This window comes from Homo sapiens, chromosome 10 (assembly GCF_000001405.40).
Source record: "Homo sapiens chromosome 10, GRCh38.p14 Primary Assembly".
Lineage (NCBI taxonomy): Eukaryota > Metazoa > Chordata > Mammalia > Primates > Hominidae > Homo > Homo sapiens.
In genome coordinates, this window is record NC_000010.11 from 53,020,827 (window position 1) to 53,039,569 (window position 18,743).

The 18,743-nt window shown below is 37.9% G+C and overlaps 1 long non-coding RNA gene and 1 pseudogene across 4 annotated transcripts in view, besides 1 other annotated feature; one reads left to right on the forward strand and one right to left on the reverse strand.

Moving 5' to 3' along the window:
* The window catches only part of LINC02672 (long intergenic non-protein coding RNA 2672), a 57,847-nt gene extending 48,563 nt beyond the window's left edge, over positions 1 to 9,284 (reverse strand). For 2 of the 4 annotated variants that reach the window (NR_186378.1, NR_186379.1), the window contains exons 1-2: positions 9,085 to 9,284; positions 1,998 to 2,134 (exon numbers count right to left, since the gene is read on the reverse strand). This is a non-coding gene — a long non-coding RNA (long intergenic non-protein coding RNA 2672). Of the gene's footprint in view, positions 1 to 1,997; positions 2,135 to 9,065 lie in introns of all 4 variants that reach the window. The other 2 variants (NR_186377.1, NR_186376.1) reach the window with 1 other exon arrangement.
* Positions 8,881 to 9,380: an enhancer, noted in NCBI's record as "H3K27ac hESC enhancer chr10:54789467-54789966 (GRCh37/hg19 assembly coordinates)". NCBI's record gives its function as "activates a minimal SCP1, AML or CMV promoter by ChIP-STARR-seq in primed H9 embryonic stem cells {active_cell/tissue: H9 hESC(primed)}" and the evidence as "EXISTENCE:reporter gene assay evidence [ECO:0000049][PMID:30033119]".
* On the forward strand, positions 17,459 to 17,714 carry SNRPEP8 (SNRPE pseudogene 8; annotated as a pseudogene).

Sequence of the window (18,743 nt, forward strand, 5' to 3'; positions counted from 1 at the left end):
CAGAATATGTTCACCTGTAGTTTTCTTATTTTATTTTCATACCATCCATGTGATACAGATAGTTTAAACTAGAGTTGACAGATGGAGTCACAGATTCAATTTAATGCCCAAGGTCCCAAAACAAGTTAATGTTGGAAGGGGGAACCAAATGTTATGAATTCCAATGCTGGGTAAATTCTCCCAGGCCATGCTGAAAATTTAATTTGATTTCCAGATCTCTTCCTTCTTACTTGATTTTTGTCAATGATATTTGATTGTGCATCTAAAACCAAATAGCAAGCATACAAAATTGGTGTAGTTTTGTAGACTAGAGATTTCAGACCCTTGTCTTTTTGTCTGGTACTTTGGGTTTAATATTAAACCACTATCAGTAGAAACTGCAGCAATTTTTACTGATATGCTCAAACCAAAATTCTTAAAATAATTATATATTTTTTCAGTTCTTGATTTTATTTTAAATTATTGTTGTATTTAATACAACTGTGAGACTCAAGGAGCTTGATTATTTATACTCTGTAACTGTGAATCTCTCTTTATATATCGATTTATGTAAATGTTCCAATGGGATTGCCTTCACACAATGTGATAAATTCCATATACATGAAATGTCCTCAAAAACTAAGAAATATGGGAATTCTATGAAAGTATTTAACGAGACCAACTTGTGCTGGTTCAATATTATCCTTCTGTGATAAAAATGATTCCAAACCTAAGCTCTAAGAATCATTCCTCTACAAGTCCAACATTATATGCTAGCCCCAGTTTAGCACGGGAGGTAGATTTATAGGGGAATTGTGTACGGCACTATAGGGATATTTCTCACTCACTTAGTATCAACTAGAAAGTTTTCCAAAATACAATCAATATTCATAAATGCTTACATACACAGTACACATTTGGCTCAATTGAATCCACATTCCCATCAAACACAGAATTCCCAGGATAAAATAAAGCAATAATACCAAGACCAATTACACCATGGGGGCTTTAATATCTCAGAAAACTTTCAGACACTTATTTCTATAATTTAATAATTATTAACACGATTTAAAATTCATGTATTCATATTGAGTATTTCTAAAAATAGCTTTAAATAGTATTTGTTCTTTAAATACATGTAATACTTTGTGTTAAAAAATAATAAAATGTATCTTTTACAAATCTCTAGCCCTTCTTTTGCTTAACAATATTTTCATAGGAACTATTTTATTTGAGGTGGTGCTTTGTGACTATTTTGTTCTACTTCCCTGTACTTTTTAATAGTACCTCTCAGCACTAATAAATAGCCATTTCATTTGGTGTTTTTAGAGTTTGATATATAAAACCTTACAACAAATTCCAGTCCCAACCCACTCCTAATTATATCCCTAAATATTTCAATTTATTTGAATTTCTTGGAATGCTAGTTACATAATTCTGTGTGGCAAATAGGGGAGTAGTCAGGAAAGTATCTCCTAATACCTGTTGTCCTATTTTTAAAGTGGTCTGTAACAGGTCTGAAGCCACAAGAAATGGAAATACCTTCATTCCATAGATAGAGACATGAGGGACTTAACAAAAACTTTTAACCAAAAGATTAAAAGAAAAAAAAGCAGAGATAAGCTAGTCATGGCAGTTTTATAAATGCTCTGTACTTAAACATGTTAATTAGACATACATCAAAAGTGTTTTAGTATTAGCGAAGGGGTTATGAATGTATAGGTTAATGAAGACATAAAAACAGCTTGTAATAACAAAAAAGGGTGCAGTGAACATCTCTTTTCATAGGGGTGTAGACAGCATTTTGGGAAATACACAGAAGATGCAATACTAAAAGTTTCATTGTTAGAGTATGCGGTTGCAGACATAAGCAGGAAGGAGAGCACCCCAGCACCCCACCCCAAGGAATGTCATGTGATCATTAGGTGATGATCAGGCAGTTGTTAAACTGTCTCTTTGAAATGATAATTTGTCACAGCTGGCCAGAGGAAGACAATATTCCAAGAGAGAGAAAATACCTGGAGTTGGTGATCAGCAGTTTCTGAATAAGATCTCAGCAGTTGGGCGAGCAGGCTCAAGCATGCGTACTAAGCAGTAAAATGGCAAATGTATGATCTTCCTCTGGAGGCATTGGACTGGTACAGGAAAATCACCCCTAGAGAACACGTGCACAACCTCAGTAAATGCAATATGCATGCAGTCACCTTCCCAAGTGCTGACTGACACTGGGCTTGGGTCAGGTGAGCAATAGCCTGCCTCAAGGGAGGAGAAACGCAAATCCCAGAACCAAGCCAATTATAAAAATCCCAAGCCAAAGGCTGGATGGGGCACTTGTATCTCTCCAGTTACCAGCTTGGCCCTTCTTCAAAGTGCATGAAACAGCCTTTGCAAAAATCATAACTGACAAAATTATGACAGTGAAAGAGATCAGACCTAACCAACCCATCTTGCTTCTAACCTCTAAGTTGTCTTGGTTCATTCCTGGGCATAGGCCAAGCTACACTCGGGAAGGAATTTACGGATTAATCTCTGAAACAAAATTGATAATAGCCCTTTCCTGAAAAAAATAAAACCCCTTCTTGCTGGGGGATGAGCCTGGCTTTGTAGGACTAACAAATTAGCTGGAAGATTAGAGGTTATGGTTTAGGGGCCATGCAGCCTCCAGCTGCAAAAGTCTGAACCTCTCCAAATTGCTCCTGCGACTAACATCACTGTTGTAAAACCTAAAATCAGTACTTAAGATATTTTGCAAGACCCTGCATTCTGATGCAGCAGATGACACCACCCAGACCAATAATCTGGCTCAACCAGTTCTGCAATCCCACCCAGGAACAGAAGTCAGCAAGACTAACCCACTTCAACGCCTTATGATTTCATTCTCAACCCAACCAATCAGCACTCCCTACTTCCCAAGTCAGTATCTGCTAAATTATCCTTAAAAACTCCAGTCCCTGAGTTTTGGGGGAGACTGATTTGAGTAATGATAAAACCCTTGTCTCCCACACAGCCGGCTCTGTGTGAATTACTCTTTCTCCATTGCAATTACTCTGTCTTGATAAATTGGCTCTGTCTAGGCAGTGGGCCAGATGAACCCATTTGGTGGTTACATGTACTTTGCTTCCTTTTGCTCCTGCTCTAAAATTTGCCTCAGTCTCTCCCTCTGCCTTAAACCTATTTCTGCCCCTTGGCCAAATTCTTTCCTCCAAAGAAGTAAGGATTCATATTTGCTGCAGACTCGTATGGATTCGCCGCTGGTTACATCATCATTAAAATAAAAATTTAGTTTGTATTAAAATTTAAAACATCTGCTCTGCAGAAGACACTGTTAAGAGAATCAAAACACAAATGACAGATAGAAAAAAATATTTTTGCAAAATACATATCTCATAAAAAGAACTTGTGTTCAAAAATACAAAGAACATTTAAATCTGGCTCAAGTCTACAATACTAGCACTTTGGGAGGCCGAGGCAGGTGGATCACGAGGTCAGGAGATTGAGACCATCCTGGCTAACACGGTGAAACCCCATCTCTACTAAAAATACAAAATAATTAGCCGGGCGTGGTAGTGGGTGTCTATAGTCCCAGCTGCTCTGGAGGCTGAGGCGGGAGAATGGTGTGAACCCGGGAGGCGGAGCTTGCAGTGAGCCGAGATCGTGCCACTGCACTCCAGCCTGGAGGACAGAGCAAGACTCTGTCTCAAAAAAAAAAAAAAAAAAAAAAATTAAATCTCAACATTATGTAAACAAAAACTTCATTAAAAAGAGCAAAATATCTGAACAGACGGTTCACCAAAGAGAGCACACAAGCATGCAAATTTTTTTATCATTTGTCTTTAGATAATTACAAATTAAAACAACAAAAAGGTGCCACTGTACATTGAATACAGCAATCATGCTCTTAGGTATTTACCCAGTTGATTTGAAAATGTTTTTCTGGCTGGGCAGGGTGGCTCACGCCTCTAATCCCAGCACTTTGGGAGGTTGAGGCGGGCGGATAACGAGGTCAGGAGATCGAGACCATCCTGGCTAACATGGTGAAATCCTGTCTCTACTAAAAATACAAAAAATTAGCCAGGTGTAGTGGCATGTGCCTGTAGTCCCAGGTACTCAGTAGGCTGAGGCAGGAGAATCACTTGAACCCCGGAGGTGGAGGATGCAATGAGCCGAGATCGCATCACTGCACTCCAGCCTGGGTGACAGAGCGAGTCTCCATCCACCTCCCCCCCCAAAAAAATGAAAGTGTTTTTCTGCACAAAAATATGCATATAGATGTATACAGCAGCTTTTTTCCCCCCATGATCATTAAAAACTAAAAGCAACCAAGATGTATTTCAATAAGTGAATTTTTATAACACACTGTGGTATATCTGTAATGCCTGAGGTTCTTGCCTAGCCACACCAAAGAATTGGTGTGCTAGCTGACCACGGCGAGTGATAGAGACATGGACCGAGAGCGAGAAAAAACTGTAAGCTTTATTAAGCAGAGTGAAAGTACAAAGCTTCCACAGCATGGGAGGGGTCCTGAACGGGTAGCCACTGTTGGTTTTGGGTGATTGCCTTTTAAACTCTTTAAAGCGGGAGATACATGAGGTGGGAAGCTTGTTACAGGAGCCGGAAACAAAGGCAGTAAATTATTTTGTGACATGTCTTAGATTTTGAGGAAAACCGGAATTGCAACTTAGGTTTTATCTACTTTAGGACCTTGCAGCAGCATGGCAAAGGAGACAGGATCTTACAGGACTTTACAAAGTATGTTTACAAGGAATCTGAATTGGGAGTGTAGATAAGGTCCACTGGTCACAGAAAAATGAGCAGTTAACATTCCTTTATTTTAGTTTCAGGGGCGGGGGAAGGGAGAGAGGGAGAGAAGATACAGGGAAACTTACAGCAAATTTTTCACTGTTTATAGCTTTCTTGGGGAAGAAAACACATGCACGAATCCTGGTGTTAGGAATATTTTAAGCGTATATCTTCAATATTATTCATCCAGGACTGAAGTAAGTCCTGATGCAGGAAATGAGTGAGTTTCACAGCTTTCTGAGCCCCTACTTGACCCAGGAAGCCCAGCTGGCACCTCCTCTCAGTCCTGCCTCTAAACAGGACACCCCAACTGCTGTTGGGAACCGTGTGGCAGTCGTTCTGGCTACTTCCTGCTGGTTAGGGGTGAAGAAGGGGCCCTGCAGTTTGGTGTCCTCCAGAGGGGAATTTTCTAGGGTAATTGAGGGACCAGCGGGTTGATCCAGGGGTCCTCGGTAGAAGCCGTGAGCTGAGCTCATTTGAGGTTCCATTTGTAAGATCATTTGTAGCTTGATGGCTTTGATCCTGGAGGGAACAAATTTGACAAGAGGTTAAAAATGCAAGGCCCAAAGGCGAGTAATAGTAGGATGGCTGTCACAGGTCCTAGAAAGGGGAGGAGCCAAGGTATCCATTGGTTAAACATATTCAAGGGTCCTGAGTGTTCAAGCTCCTTTTTCCTACTTTCTATCTGTTCTTTTATTTCTTTGACCTTTTCAATAATGATTCCCAACTGGTTAACAAAATAGCAACATGAACTGGGAGTTAGAGTGCAGGGGAATGCAGAAGAAGGCATCTTTGAGGTCCAAAACAGTGAACCATTCTTTCTCTGGTATTTGAGAGAGCAGTGTATAAGGGTTGGGTACAGCAGGATATAAACGAATTACTGCCTCACTGATGATTCTGAGGTCTTGCACTAGTCTCCACTGGCCATTTGGTTTTTGTATTCCTAGGATTGGGGAGTTGCAATGACTGCTGCATTTTCTTACTAATCCTTGAGTTTTTAAATGTCTGACAATATCCTGTAATCCTTTGAGAGCTTTAGGCCTTAAGGGATATTGCCATTGATAAGGAAAAGTGGTGGAGTCTTTTAGCCTGATTTGAACTGGATGGGTATTCTTTGCCCTTCCAAATTGTCCTTCCAAGGCCCAGACTTCAGAATTGATTCCTTCTTCAAGGAAGGGACAACAAATGGGTAATTTGTTCCCCATATTCATGTAGATAATAGTCCCAGCTTTGGCTAATATGTCCCTCCCTAATAAGGGTGGGAGTTTCGGGCATAACAAGAAAGGCATGTGAAAAGAGCAAAGTCTCCTAATTGCAGCTGAGGAGGCGAGAGAAATACCTGGTTACAGACTGTCCTAAGATTCCTTGGATAGCAACGGACTTTGAGGACAGTCATCCTGGGCAGGAGATTAAAACTGAGAAGGCTGCACCAGTGTCCAGGAGGAAGTCCACTTTGTGGCCCTCAATGGTCAAACTTACCTGGGGCTCTGTGAGGTTGATGGCATGAGTGGGTGCTTGCCCCAGGCACCCTCAGTCATGTTGCTGAATCATCTGGTTGGGTGCTTCTGTCCTAGAGGGTCTTCATCCTCTGGGGCAGTGTGCCTTCCAGTGATTGCCTTGGCATATTGGACATGGGCAAGGGGGCAGTTTGTTTCTGGTTGGACAATCTTTCTTAAAGTGTCCTTGGAAACCGCAATGATAACAAGCCCTACTAGGCAATTGGCCTGCTCCTCTTTTGGTTCCCTGTGAGCCACCAAGGTCTGCCTGTCTGAGAGCCATGACTAAGGCTGCAGTCTTTCTCTTATCTCGCTTTTCCTTTTTGGCCTGCTCCTCTTGGTCCCTGTTACAGAACACCAAGGTTGCCAGGTTTAGTAATGCCTCCAAATTTTGTTCTGGGTCTAAAGCAGACTTTTGGAGTTTTCTCCTAATATCAGCTGCTGCTTGGGTGATAAATTTATCCTTTAGAATAAGTTGGCCTTCCAGGGAATCTGGAGTTAGGGAGGTATGCTTTCTTAGGGCCTCCCTTAGCCTTTCTAGAAAAGTGGAGTAGTTTTCCTCTGTTCCCTGTATAATTGTGGATAGCATTGAGTAGTTCATAGGCTTGTTCCTAGTCTTCCTTAACCCTTCTAAAATGCAAGTTAGCAAATGCCTGTGGCTCTAATCTCCATGATCTGAGTCAGTATCCTAATGAAGGTCTACAGTGGGGACTGCCTGTTGCCCTGTGAGGAATTTTTCCCTCTCCTCCAGGGCCATTCAATCGTTTACCTGGCTAAGTTAGCACAGATCCCCAAATTGCTGGGCTGCTGTTAAAGCTGCTTCCTTTTCAGTAGGACTTCAGGTCTGATCAAGAAGTAACATGATATTTCTCCATGTTAGATCAAAGGACAGCCCTAATCTTTGCAGGACATCTATATAGCTATCAGGATCACCTGAGAATTTTCCCAAATCTGCCTTGATTTGTTTTAAATCTGATAGTTAGAAAGGGACATGCAGGTGAATGGGCCTAAATTTTCTTCCTACTGTTTATAAGGGACATAGTTTGGGTGTCTGGCTCGTGGAGTTTACATTTTCTTTCCAGTGTGCCTTTAACACTTTGGTGGGGCCAGATGGAAGAGAGTCAGTGGGGGAGGAGAGTGAGGCTGAGGGAAGAGGCCCTGAGTATGGAGGTAATTGTGGGCCTCTGTCATTTGGGCAAAGCTTGCAGGCTTGGCACAGGGCAGTATTGTCACGAAGGGCAAAGAAAGCCTGTACGTAAGGGACTTCACTCCATTTACCTTCCTGTTTACAGAAAATCTAGTTGTAGAAGGATGTTATAATTAATATTTCCCTCAGGGAGCCAAGTTTCTCCATTTTGTAAGGAATACTGTGGCCAGGCAGTGGTACAGAAGAAAATCAGTGGCTTCTTTTTTAAGGTTTCAGGGTCGAGTTTGTCCTAATTATTCAGGATACATCTTAAGGAAGTGTCTGGTTTTGAAGGTGTGGTGCCCATATGGAATTTTAACACAGGGGTGCCTACACCTCTAGTTAGTCCTCGGACTCGTCTTCCCTTAGGGCATCCCCTAAGGGTCAGGTCCATTTATGCTCAAAGCTCATGGCCACTTTTCCTGAGCTCTCCATCTACCGGATTTAACCATGCTTACCGGTGGGATGGAAACTTCCCTTGCCCCTGCCGTGCACCCACTGACCACTAAATGGGGCACAAGGACTGTTTGATTTATTGTGGTCCTTCTGCCAATGTGTCCTACCTGTTCCAGAGTGGCAAGTCCTGGGTCTGGGGTGCCACTGATGTTTGCATACTAAGGCCCAATTTATGAGAGCCTGGCCATGGGAATCTCTGAATTAGTGACAGGAGGCTTAATTAGCTTAAAGGTGGTGGTGGATGTCCTCTAGGCCAGGACCAAGAGAACAGCTGCTGTACTTTAGCCCTCTGTCTCCACTTGCCATCAAAGGAGTAAGCCCCTCTCTTAAGGTGGTACTAGTATCCTGTGTCCCAACTGACTATATTTTCTTCCATCCAATACCAATTATTGAATGGTTGAAACAGCAATTCAATGGCTCTAAGACCCGTGCCTATGCACCACAGATTGTACTCGAGAGGCCCCAAGGAACGGGAAAGTTTATTTGGGGAGCAATGGAAAAAATGCCCTAAGGCTTCTACTATCCACATGAAAATTACAGACCTGTCTTTAAATTGTCCTGATGTGGGGGACCATACACTATGGTGGGGAACTGGCCCTTCAAAATAGTCATCAAATGGTGACACCTGTCTAAACCCTGGAGGGCACCATGAACAGGGATCTTCTGGGCACCACCCCAAGAATTTAAGACTTCTAAACAGGAAATCTTGATCCTGCCTAGAGGGAATAATTTTGCTTTCAAGGTGAGGAAAGAAGTTTAACTGGCAGACAATAGGGCCCAGGAAGCGGGAGTCAGATGTGGCTGTCTCACGCCCAGTAATCCATGCAGTGGGAGCCTCTGGCGGGGCCATGGTCTCAACCAAGATATCTGGGAGACCAAGACGTCTGCTGATCACTCCCAGGTGTACTTCGGGACCACCATGAAAAGCAAAAGAGTTAGAACTGGTTTCGGACAAACCAATGCTCCTGACCCCAAAGGGTCGGGGGTTGTCAGAGAACCCTTTCCAAGACAGCCTTGACACCTGTGTCTTTAGTCTGGTCGCTGTGCTATTCACCTTTAAGTCGCAGACAGGTGCCCAGTATTTAGCCTCCTAATTCTAAGGAAGGACAGGACAGAATAGCAAGTGAAAGAGGTCCAATTGTACTCACTGCATGATGATCTAGATACCTTTTCTGGAGTCTCCTGTCTGGCTCGCCAAGATGTAACACCTGAGGTTCTTGCCAAGCCACACCAAAGAAATGGTGTGGAAGCTGACCACAGTGAGTGAAAGAGACATGGACTGAGAGTGAGAAAAAGCTGCAGGCTTTATTGAGCAGAGTGAAAGTACAAAGCTTCCACAGTGTGGAAACAGTCTTGAATGGGTAGCCACGGTTGGTTTTGGGTGATTGCCTTTTAAACTCTTTAAGGCGGGAGATACGTGAGGCAGGAAGCTTGTTACAGGAGCGAGATCAACAAAGGCAGTAAATTATTTTGTGACATGTCTTAGATTTTGAGGAAAACCGGAATTGCAACTTAGGTTTTATCTACTTTAGGACCTTACAGCAGCATGGCAAAGGAGACAGGATCTCACAGGAGTTTACAAAGTATGTTTACAAGGAATTGGAATTGGGAGTATAGATAAGGTCCACTGGTCACAGAAAAACAGGCAGTTAACATTCCTTTTACTTTAGTTTCAGGGGCGGGGGAAGGGAGAGAGGGAGAGAGGACACAGGGAAACTTACAGCAAATTTTTCACTGTTTATAGCTTTCTTGGGGAAGAAAACACATGCACAAATCCTGGTGTTAGGAATATTTTAAGCATATATCTTCAGTATTATTCATCCAGGACTGAAGTAAGTCCTGATGCAGGAAATGAGTGAGTTTCACAGCTTTCTGAGCCCTTACTCAACCCAGGAAGCCCAGCTGGCCCCTCCTCTCACATCCATACTGTTGATTATGATTCAACAATAAAAAGAGGAAATAGGCCACAAAAAGACGTGAATAAATTATAAATGCATATTGAAGCCAGACTGAAGAAGCTACATACTTTACTATTAAACTATGACATTTTGGAAATGGCAAAACTATAGAAATAGTAAAAAGATTAGTATTTTTCTAGGAGTTCTAGGAGAGGGGCAGTGGACTGAATAGGTGAAGCATAGGAGATTTTTTTTCTAGAGTGGTAAAGCTAATCTGTATGATAATATAATGGTGTATAAACAACCCTATATATTTTCAAACTGTAGAACTTTACAACACAATGTAGGAGCCTTGATGGATGCAAATTTTAAAAGTAATTTCTGGTTAGGCACGGTGGCTCACGTCTATAACCCCAGCACTTTCGGACACCAAGGTGGATGGATCACCTGAGGTCAGGAGTTCAAGGCCAGCCTGAGCAATCTGGTGAAATCCTGTCTCTAATAAAAATACAAAAATTAGCCTGGCGTGGTGTTGGGCGTCTGTAATCCCAGCTACTTGTTAGGCTGAGGCAGGAGAGTCACTTGAACCCAGGAGGTAGAGGTTGCAGTGAGCCAAGATCGTGCCATTGCACTCCAGCCTGGGTAACAGACTGAGACTCTGTCTCAAAAAAAAAAAAAAAAAAGTAATTTCTGAGATTGGGATATTTCAGTGCAGAATGCAGGAGTGACAACACAGTCTCCTTCTGTTCAACATGTATGAAACAATCTCACTGAAGAAGGTGCTGGGGGTATGGTGTCAATCTAAGTAACTGGAAATGAGTATCATGTGTAAGATTAAAGGCTAAAGAAATCATATGAACACTGTAAGTATTAAACTGTGTTCCATGGGGATACAGATTCACAATTCTGAAACCATTATATATAGTTCAGTTGTAGCATATATATATATATATATATGCTATAATCATATATGTAAGATATATAATTATTCAATTACAACACATATATACTGCAATTATATAATATATATTTGAACATATAATATATGCATATATAATTACATATTATATACACATACATATAATTATATATGTATATATAATATATACAATTATATATAATTGTAATATATAATACATATAATATATAAAATATATTCAACTATAGCACATATTTAATATGTATAATTATATGTGCTATGATTGAACAATTAAATACATAAATGGTGAACTGTGAGAGCCAGGTTTCTCATTCTTGGAATGTTAGTTTATAGGTAAGCATTTAGTAGAAGCTAGAATGATTCATGTGATAATATAATTTTTAGAGTTAGGGGCCCACAAATAAACTCATATTTAGTTCAATAGAGATAGTTTCACATAGACATGTTTATTGATACATATGCATACATGGGTTAGTAGTCATACATATGTTTCCTTGCTCTGTCAGTTGAGAACCCCAGAGGCAATGACATTCCAGTATCAGTGACCACACCAAGTGCCTAAATCTTGATTTTTAATATTATTCTTAAAAAGAGGAAGGAGGGAATCTGGAGAGAAGTGGCTGATTCCAGGACTGAGAAAGAAAAGTTATTTAAGATGACCTTGAAAGAAGAAAGTGCTCAAATAAAAAATGAGCTCATAATAATGAGAGTGTGTCAAAGGAACACAGGAGCCAACTAAAAGAGCTATCAATGGCCAAAGCTGAAACAGTTTCAGCAACAAAATATGTAATTGTACTATTCGATTATAAACAAAAGTATAAAATGAATATCCATGAGTCCATACTGATATAAATAATTGAATAAATAAATAAATGGAAGCAAAGAGGCAAATTTGTGCAGAAGAATTACAAATAACTTATGTAGACATTATGCTGCATTAGTATTAAGTGTGGGCTGCTTGTAGTGACCTCTTTCCAATGAGTACAGTAAGGAAATGATATAAAAAAGAATAACTATTCAGTGGAGAAACATGACAAACTACCTCAAGCAGGTGATCAAGGTAAACAGTGATGTCATGTAAATATTATGAACCATTTGTATATGATGGAATTGGTAATTTATCTCGGTCATCTTCTTCTCAAAAACCCATAACCCTAAAGTAATGATGAGAAAAATCAACAGACAAATCTCACGTGAAGAATGTTTTATAAAATACATGACCATGATTCTTCATAGCTATCAATGTAATCAAAAACAGGAAAGGCCTGAAAAACCTCACAGTCAAGAGAAGACAAAGAACACACAATGGCTAAATGTAATGTGGTATCTGAGATGAGATTCTGAAACAGCAACAAAAAAAATTAGGTAAAAAATAACAAAATGTGAATGAAGTATGGATTTCAGTTAATAATAATGTGTCAGTATTGGTTCATTAGCTATAACATGTACTGCAGTAATGGAAGATGTAATGATAGGGAAAAGTGGATATGGAGAATGTGAGAACTCTGTACTATCTTTGCAAGTTTTTGGTAAATCTAAAATTGCTCTACAATGAAAAGGTTTTATATTAATATAAAAATGAGCTAGGACCTGAAGAATAAAAAGAACACAGAATATTCTAGGTAAGTTTTTTTCAGGCAGAGAAAATAATAAGAATAAAGTATCTTGGATGAGTGTAGTGTAGCGAATTCAAATAATAGAAATAAAATTAATTGGTATGGAAAGATGGAAGTAATATAAGTATCTCCAGGTATGTAGATGATTATGAAGAACTTAGCATATTTAACCAAACCACTGCAACCTTGCATGATGTTGCCATTTCTTAACATTCATTATGGGATCTCTTGTCATAACAGACAAAACTCTAGATTCTTGATTTTATATTTTAAGTTAATAGCACCCGAAAGTTTGATGACTCAATAAGCTATATTTGTTATGCCAGAACGAACAGATGGTATAATGCTTCAAAAACATGATGGTTCACTTAGGCAGCATTCCCTGATGGCATAATTCATATTTCAATAATTTAGCAAGTTAATTGAGGAATAACTCAGAATTAACTATTTAGAAAATAAAATTAGCATCCAAATTGACACAGCAAATTAAATCCTAAAAGAAATGAAATGCAGTGGCTGAGAGGATCATAAAAAATGCTAACAAATGGGATTATGTAGCAGCTTTGCAGTTTCCTGTTATTTGGCAAGGAAAACCTAGAAGGCCATTTTTATGTCTGGGTCTAATAGTAGATATATAAAATTACATGGATCAAGAAGTAGGAAATAGCATAAATGTTTGATTCAACTCATTGTAAATAATTCTCTTCATTTTCTAAAGAATAGTAAAATTTTTATGTAATTTTAAACAAGTATAGCCTGGTATCATTGGGTAATGTGTCACAAATAAAAATTAATATTATTCTCAACAACTTTTAGTCTAATTTCATGTGTTTTCTAGAATTGACATAACACGACTTGAACTCCTGATTTAATGCATCTTATGGTCTTGCTTATCATTGTTCACAAGTTAATTTATTTGAAAACGTGCTAAATAAAAATTCTGAAAAGGCAGAAGATGTGATTTGTAGAGTCTGAGAATAGTATGACATGCTTACAAGCCAACAAGATATTCTTCTGAGCTGGTACATATGTTTTATTAGGTTACTGGAGTAAAATACATTTTTTCTTTGTAATTTTATGCATTTAGTGAGATTATATAATTCATTCATTTCTATTTTTTTCCTAGTATTTTAAGTATTTCACTTTTTATGTATAGTTTCATATTGACATAAGAAGTAATAGTGGAATTCCATTTCGTTTTCCTACATTATTGTTCAGCTGCCTCATCACCATTTACTGAGCAATTCATACGTTCAAATAACCATGTAATGCTTCCTTTATTATGTAATCAGTGCCCCTCTCCCATGTCTTTTCATCTGTCCAAGCACCACTTAGTTAAAGCCTTTAAACTTCAGTTCCTTTATTGTGATAACCCAATGAAGTGGTCACTGTTTTTATAATTTTCTTACAGATGAAGCAAATGAGGTATAAAAATAATAATTAATATATCCAAATTCATAACTTACAAAGTGATGATAAACTAATTACTAATATCTCTTGAATATTAGTCATTAGTTACATTAGAACATTTTTAGATATTGGAGTTTCTCTCTAACTTAATTTTTAGATATCGGAGTTTCTCTCTAATTTCTAGTTTATTTTGTTTATTTATATGACAACCACTTATCTGTCACCAGAAACTATTCTAAGCAACTTACAAATATTAACTTACAGCAATCTTATGAAATCTACATTAATTTTATTTCTAGTTACTATGGGGACACTGAGGCATAGGGAGGTGAAAAAGTTTTCCGAAGGTCATGCATTCAAACTCAGGGAGGGAGACTATAGTCTGTGCTTTTAACTATTATGTTCTGTTGCTTCTGATCCTTTGATTTGTCCAAATAATCAAGGTAATTTATATATCTAAAGAAGATGAAATAAGAGACATCTTACTTATAATGCAGAGTAGTTATACTCTTCAAAAATATCACAACATAAGAATTTGCAAGGCCAGGAGTGGTGGCTCACATACTTGTAATCCCAGCACTCTGGGAGACCAAAGCAGGAGGATCGCTTGAGCCCAGGAGTTTGAGACCAGCCTGGGTAGCATACTGAGGCCCCATTTCTACAAAAAATTTTAAAAATTAGCTGGGTATGGTGGCATGTGCTTGAAGTCCCAGATACTCCAGAGGCTAAGGTGGGAGGATCACTTGAGCCTGGGAGGTGGAAGCGTGAGCCGTTATCATGACACTGTACTCCAGCCTGGGCAACAGAACAAGGCCTTTGCTCTGAAAATAAAAAATATGCACGATAACTAAAGACATTGGTATAAATTTCTAAAAATGATATACCTATATGTCAGCAATAATTAATTATTAAAATGCAATGAATAAGTACTCTAATAGAGGAATTTAAAGCATCATAAGATAGAAAAAGTAAAAGAAAGGATCTAAAAAGAGATAAAACATATGTAAAGCATGGAAGCCTGCTTTTTTCGTTCAAAGATAATTATATGCGAAATTAAAATTTATGTTTCCTCTCTTTTTTTCTCCAAGCCTGAATTAGATCTTGTATGGCTTGAAATGGAAAGATGTTCTGTAAGAAAAAAGAAAAACCATTTTAGATAGCATAGTCTCCTGCAAGGGGATTCTCTCTAGATTAAAGTGATTTTCCCACTACTAGTTTAGATACAGAAATCTATTTTTCTTTGAAGGGGTGCATGCAGCTGTCTCCTGAAGGTTATACACTATCCAGAGGATCTTTTGGTTTTCCATATTCAGATGTTTGGTTCAACACAGACCAACCCTCTTCTATATAATAAGGAGACACATGGGTTAATGCTCATGTATCTCATGTGTTTCTACTTATTTATTTATTTATTTATTTATTTATTTATTTATTTAGAGAAGGAGTTTCGCTCTTGTTGCCCAGGCTGGAGTGCAATGGCATGGTCTTAGCTCACTGCAACCTCCACCTCCCGGATTCAAGTGATTCTCTTGCCTCAGCCTCCTGAGTATCTGGCATTACAGACGCCCACTACCACGCCCGGCTAACTTTTTGTATTTTCAATAGAGATAAGGTTTCACCATGTTGGCCAGGCTGGTCTCAAACTGTGGACCTCAGGTGGTGCACCCGCCCTGGCCTCCCAAAGTGCTGGGACTATAGGCGTGAGCCACCACACGCAGCCCCCCATGTGTTTCTTTAAAGCTAAGTCTTCTCCAAGAACTGAAGGTCTGGAATGACAATGACTAAGACTAAATACTTAAAATAATAATTTTACATATAATGTCTGTAAATGTAAATACATAGTTACAGGGGGAGATTGTTAGCTAATCAACCAGTCTGATTCCTCTTCTTCCCGAGTATGAAATGGGATGATGTTTTCCAGTGTCTTTTATGTAAGCTGTGGCCACTTGCCTGGGTGATATATACCCTTACGAACCTCTGTTTTGTCTATCTAGCGTGGAGACAAATCTCAGAGCTATGTTATGAGCTATGAATTGAGGATAATGAAATCACGGGATAAAATGACCCTGGGTCCCTAATACACACATGGAGGAGAACTGCTCACCACTAATGGATACCTATTTAGAATTTAGGGAGTCAGAATGAAATTTTTATTATGTTAAATTACTGACTCCTCGGAGTCTGTTGGAGCAGCCAGAGTTACTTTCAGGGGTAGATTCTCTCATATCTAATTTCATATTATACTATGTTATGAATCAAGAAACTTAAGGTCAGGCGTTAATGAGCTGCTCATCAATGTTCTATGTGGGAAATCTGATATTTGTAGCTAGATTTTCTGAATCCAAATTTTTGGTGTTTTTTCCTATGCCAAATTGTCAAATGTTGGTTTCGAATATGTTTAAAAGCTCAGGTCCTAGGGCCAGAGAAGCAGCTATTTAAATAATGATTCTAACCATTACTAAGAGTATGAGCTTTCAATTATTTAACTTTTCAAGCCTCCATTTCTCTATTTGGGGATAATAATAGCTTTCAGCATATGTTGTGAGAATTAAGAAATATACTTCAAGTAAAAGCTTATTAGAATGATTGAACATAATGCCAATAAATAGTGAAATAATAGCAGTCCCTTTGGTGCTTAATGATGAGTTTTCTAATGTTGAAAAATTTGGGAACTTACCCTCTCTTCCTTTCCCTATGAATACATTCTCTTTTCTTCTGTTTTTAGTCCCAGATTTTTGTATAAATAATCAGTTTTCAAACTTGGTACTATCAAAAGTTTTCTAATATTAGTACTAGCTCTTTGTATAAATAATTAGTTTCCAAATGGCACAAAATTATCTACTGAGCTTTTATTTTCTAAGAAACAGACACATTACACTAAAAAATAATCTCAAATTATAAATAATATACATAAACTTACGGAGTAAAAATGAAAATTTTCCTTTTGTTTCTCATTATAAGAATTTGCTATCATAATGCTAATAACTGAAGTATATCATGATATATATACAGTGTGTATGTTTTTATTTTTATTGAATTTTTTATTTGACTTTAAATGTATATAAATATAAATTTAAAAATTCACAAATTTTAACAGTCCAGTTTTTTCTTATTAAAGCAATTTCAGTGAAATTTTAAGTTTTTTTAGATCAATTCATTATTTACAAGACATTTTACCAAACAAAAAATGTATATGTATATATAGTAATTACATGTATGGATATATAGTTGCATATTATAATGATTAATTAAATGTTGTTTATAGAATATTAAAATGTATAATTACATACATTTTGTAGATATAATCATGCATATTTCAAGTAAGATAAAATATTAAAACAAAATAAATACACCCTGTATATATAATTTTATTGTTTAGTAGGAAGTCTTGTAATAGTAAGGAGATAATGTGGAAAACATTAAAAACTTAAAAAGAACTGTATATGTTATGCTTAAATTGCTTAAATTAAGGAAGGGCTGCAAACTGCAGACTTAAAATTTTGAGCTGATGTTTTCATCAAGGTAATTGAAGTTCTACCTGCTGTTAATGCCTAAGTGTTAACACAACCACATCAAAATAAAATACAGTAAAGAGAGAGTAAGGGTGAGAAGTCTGGGGATGAGTTTGAGAAAAGTAACAAAGCATCCCCAGAGTGTAGTGTTTGTGAGCTTTCACCATGGCATACCATGGCCAGGGCCACAAAGTGCAGAAGGTGACGCCATAGCCCAAATGTCACTTCGGATACTTGCAAAATAGTGCCTGTGTGGCTCTGTAAGCAAATAAATATGCAAATAATGAGCTGTATCATTGGTTTCAATTAACATATGAAGCTTGCATTAGATGATGAGGAAGAGATTATTTTAAAGCAGTGAAGAAAACAACTAGATTACATTATGCTAAAAGGAGATATTATTGCTCTGGTATAAAATGTCCCCAACTGTTATAGAAATGATCAATGAAGTGAGAAATTGTTGAGGAGGCAATGCAGTTTTTGTTTGCTTGTTTGTTTAAGGTGTCCTTTGTTGCAAATGGAGTTCATTCTAAAACATTTGTTTCTATTGTTTTGATTAAATTTATATCATCAGATCACAATAAATGCTGTTATTTTATTTTATTATTTGTTTTAAGTATAGTCATAGGACTGGTTTTGGGGTTGGAAATCCTTTAAATTGAGAATGCTGATCCATTATGCTGCAGTACTTCTTAGGTTCCCCAAATCTCCAAAATATTACTTACTGGGCCATGGGTGTAAATGCGTAAGATATTTGGTATATACTCATTACTTCCCTTGTCCTACCTGAGTGGGAAGGAACCTCAGGGTTAGGAGATGGTAGAACTCATTTTTCCTGTGTGTTAAATTTGTGAATTACCCTGTATTTTGCTGATCCTTAAAAAGATTAACCCAATCAAAAGATTTAACATGGTTGAAAGTAAGATCAATGAACAAACCTCAACCTTGACTGGTTCTCACTCTACATACTACAAGGAATGACTGCTAACAATTTGAAACACCTATCAATATTTTTTTCTATGCCTTTTTATACATACATACTTTGTGTATAAATGTGTGCATATGCATATTAATACATATATACATATTTTGTAACTATTATTACATCATATATTGTTATGCAACCTACATTATTTTATGATATATTTTAAAGGTATTTCTGTCGTAAACGTAAGTCTATGCCACTCTATTTTTACTTCTGATGTAGATTTCATATCATGTAACCAGTCCCTTTTTAATGGGAATTTAGTTGTTTCTATATTTTTACTATTTCAAACAATGCTATAAAGAATAGTTTTTGGGCTTGGTGTAGTGGCTCATGCCTGTAATACTAGCACTTTGGGAGGCCGAGGGGGGCGGATAACTTGAGGCCAGGAGTTTGAGACCAGCCTGGCCAACGTGTCAAAACCCCTTCTCTACTAAAACAACAGAAATTAGCCCAGGCATGGTG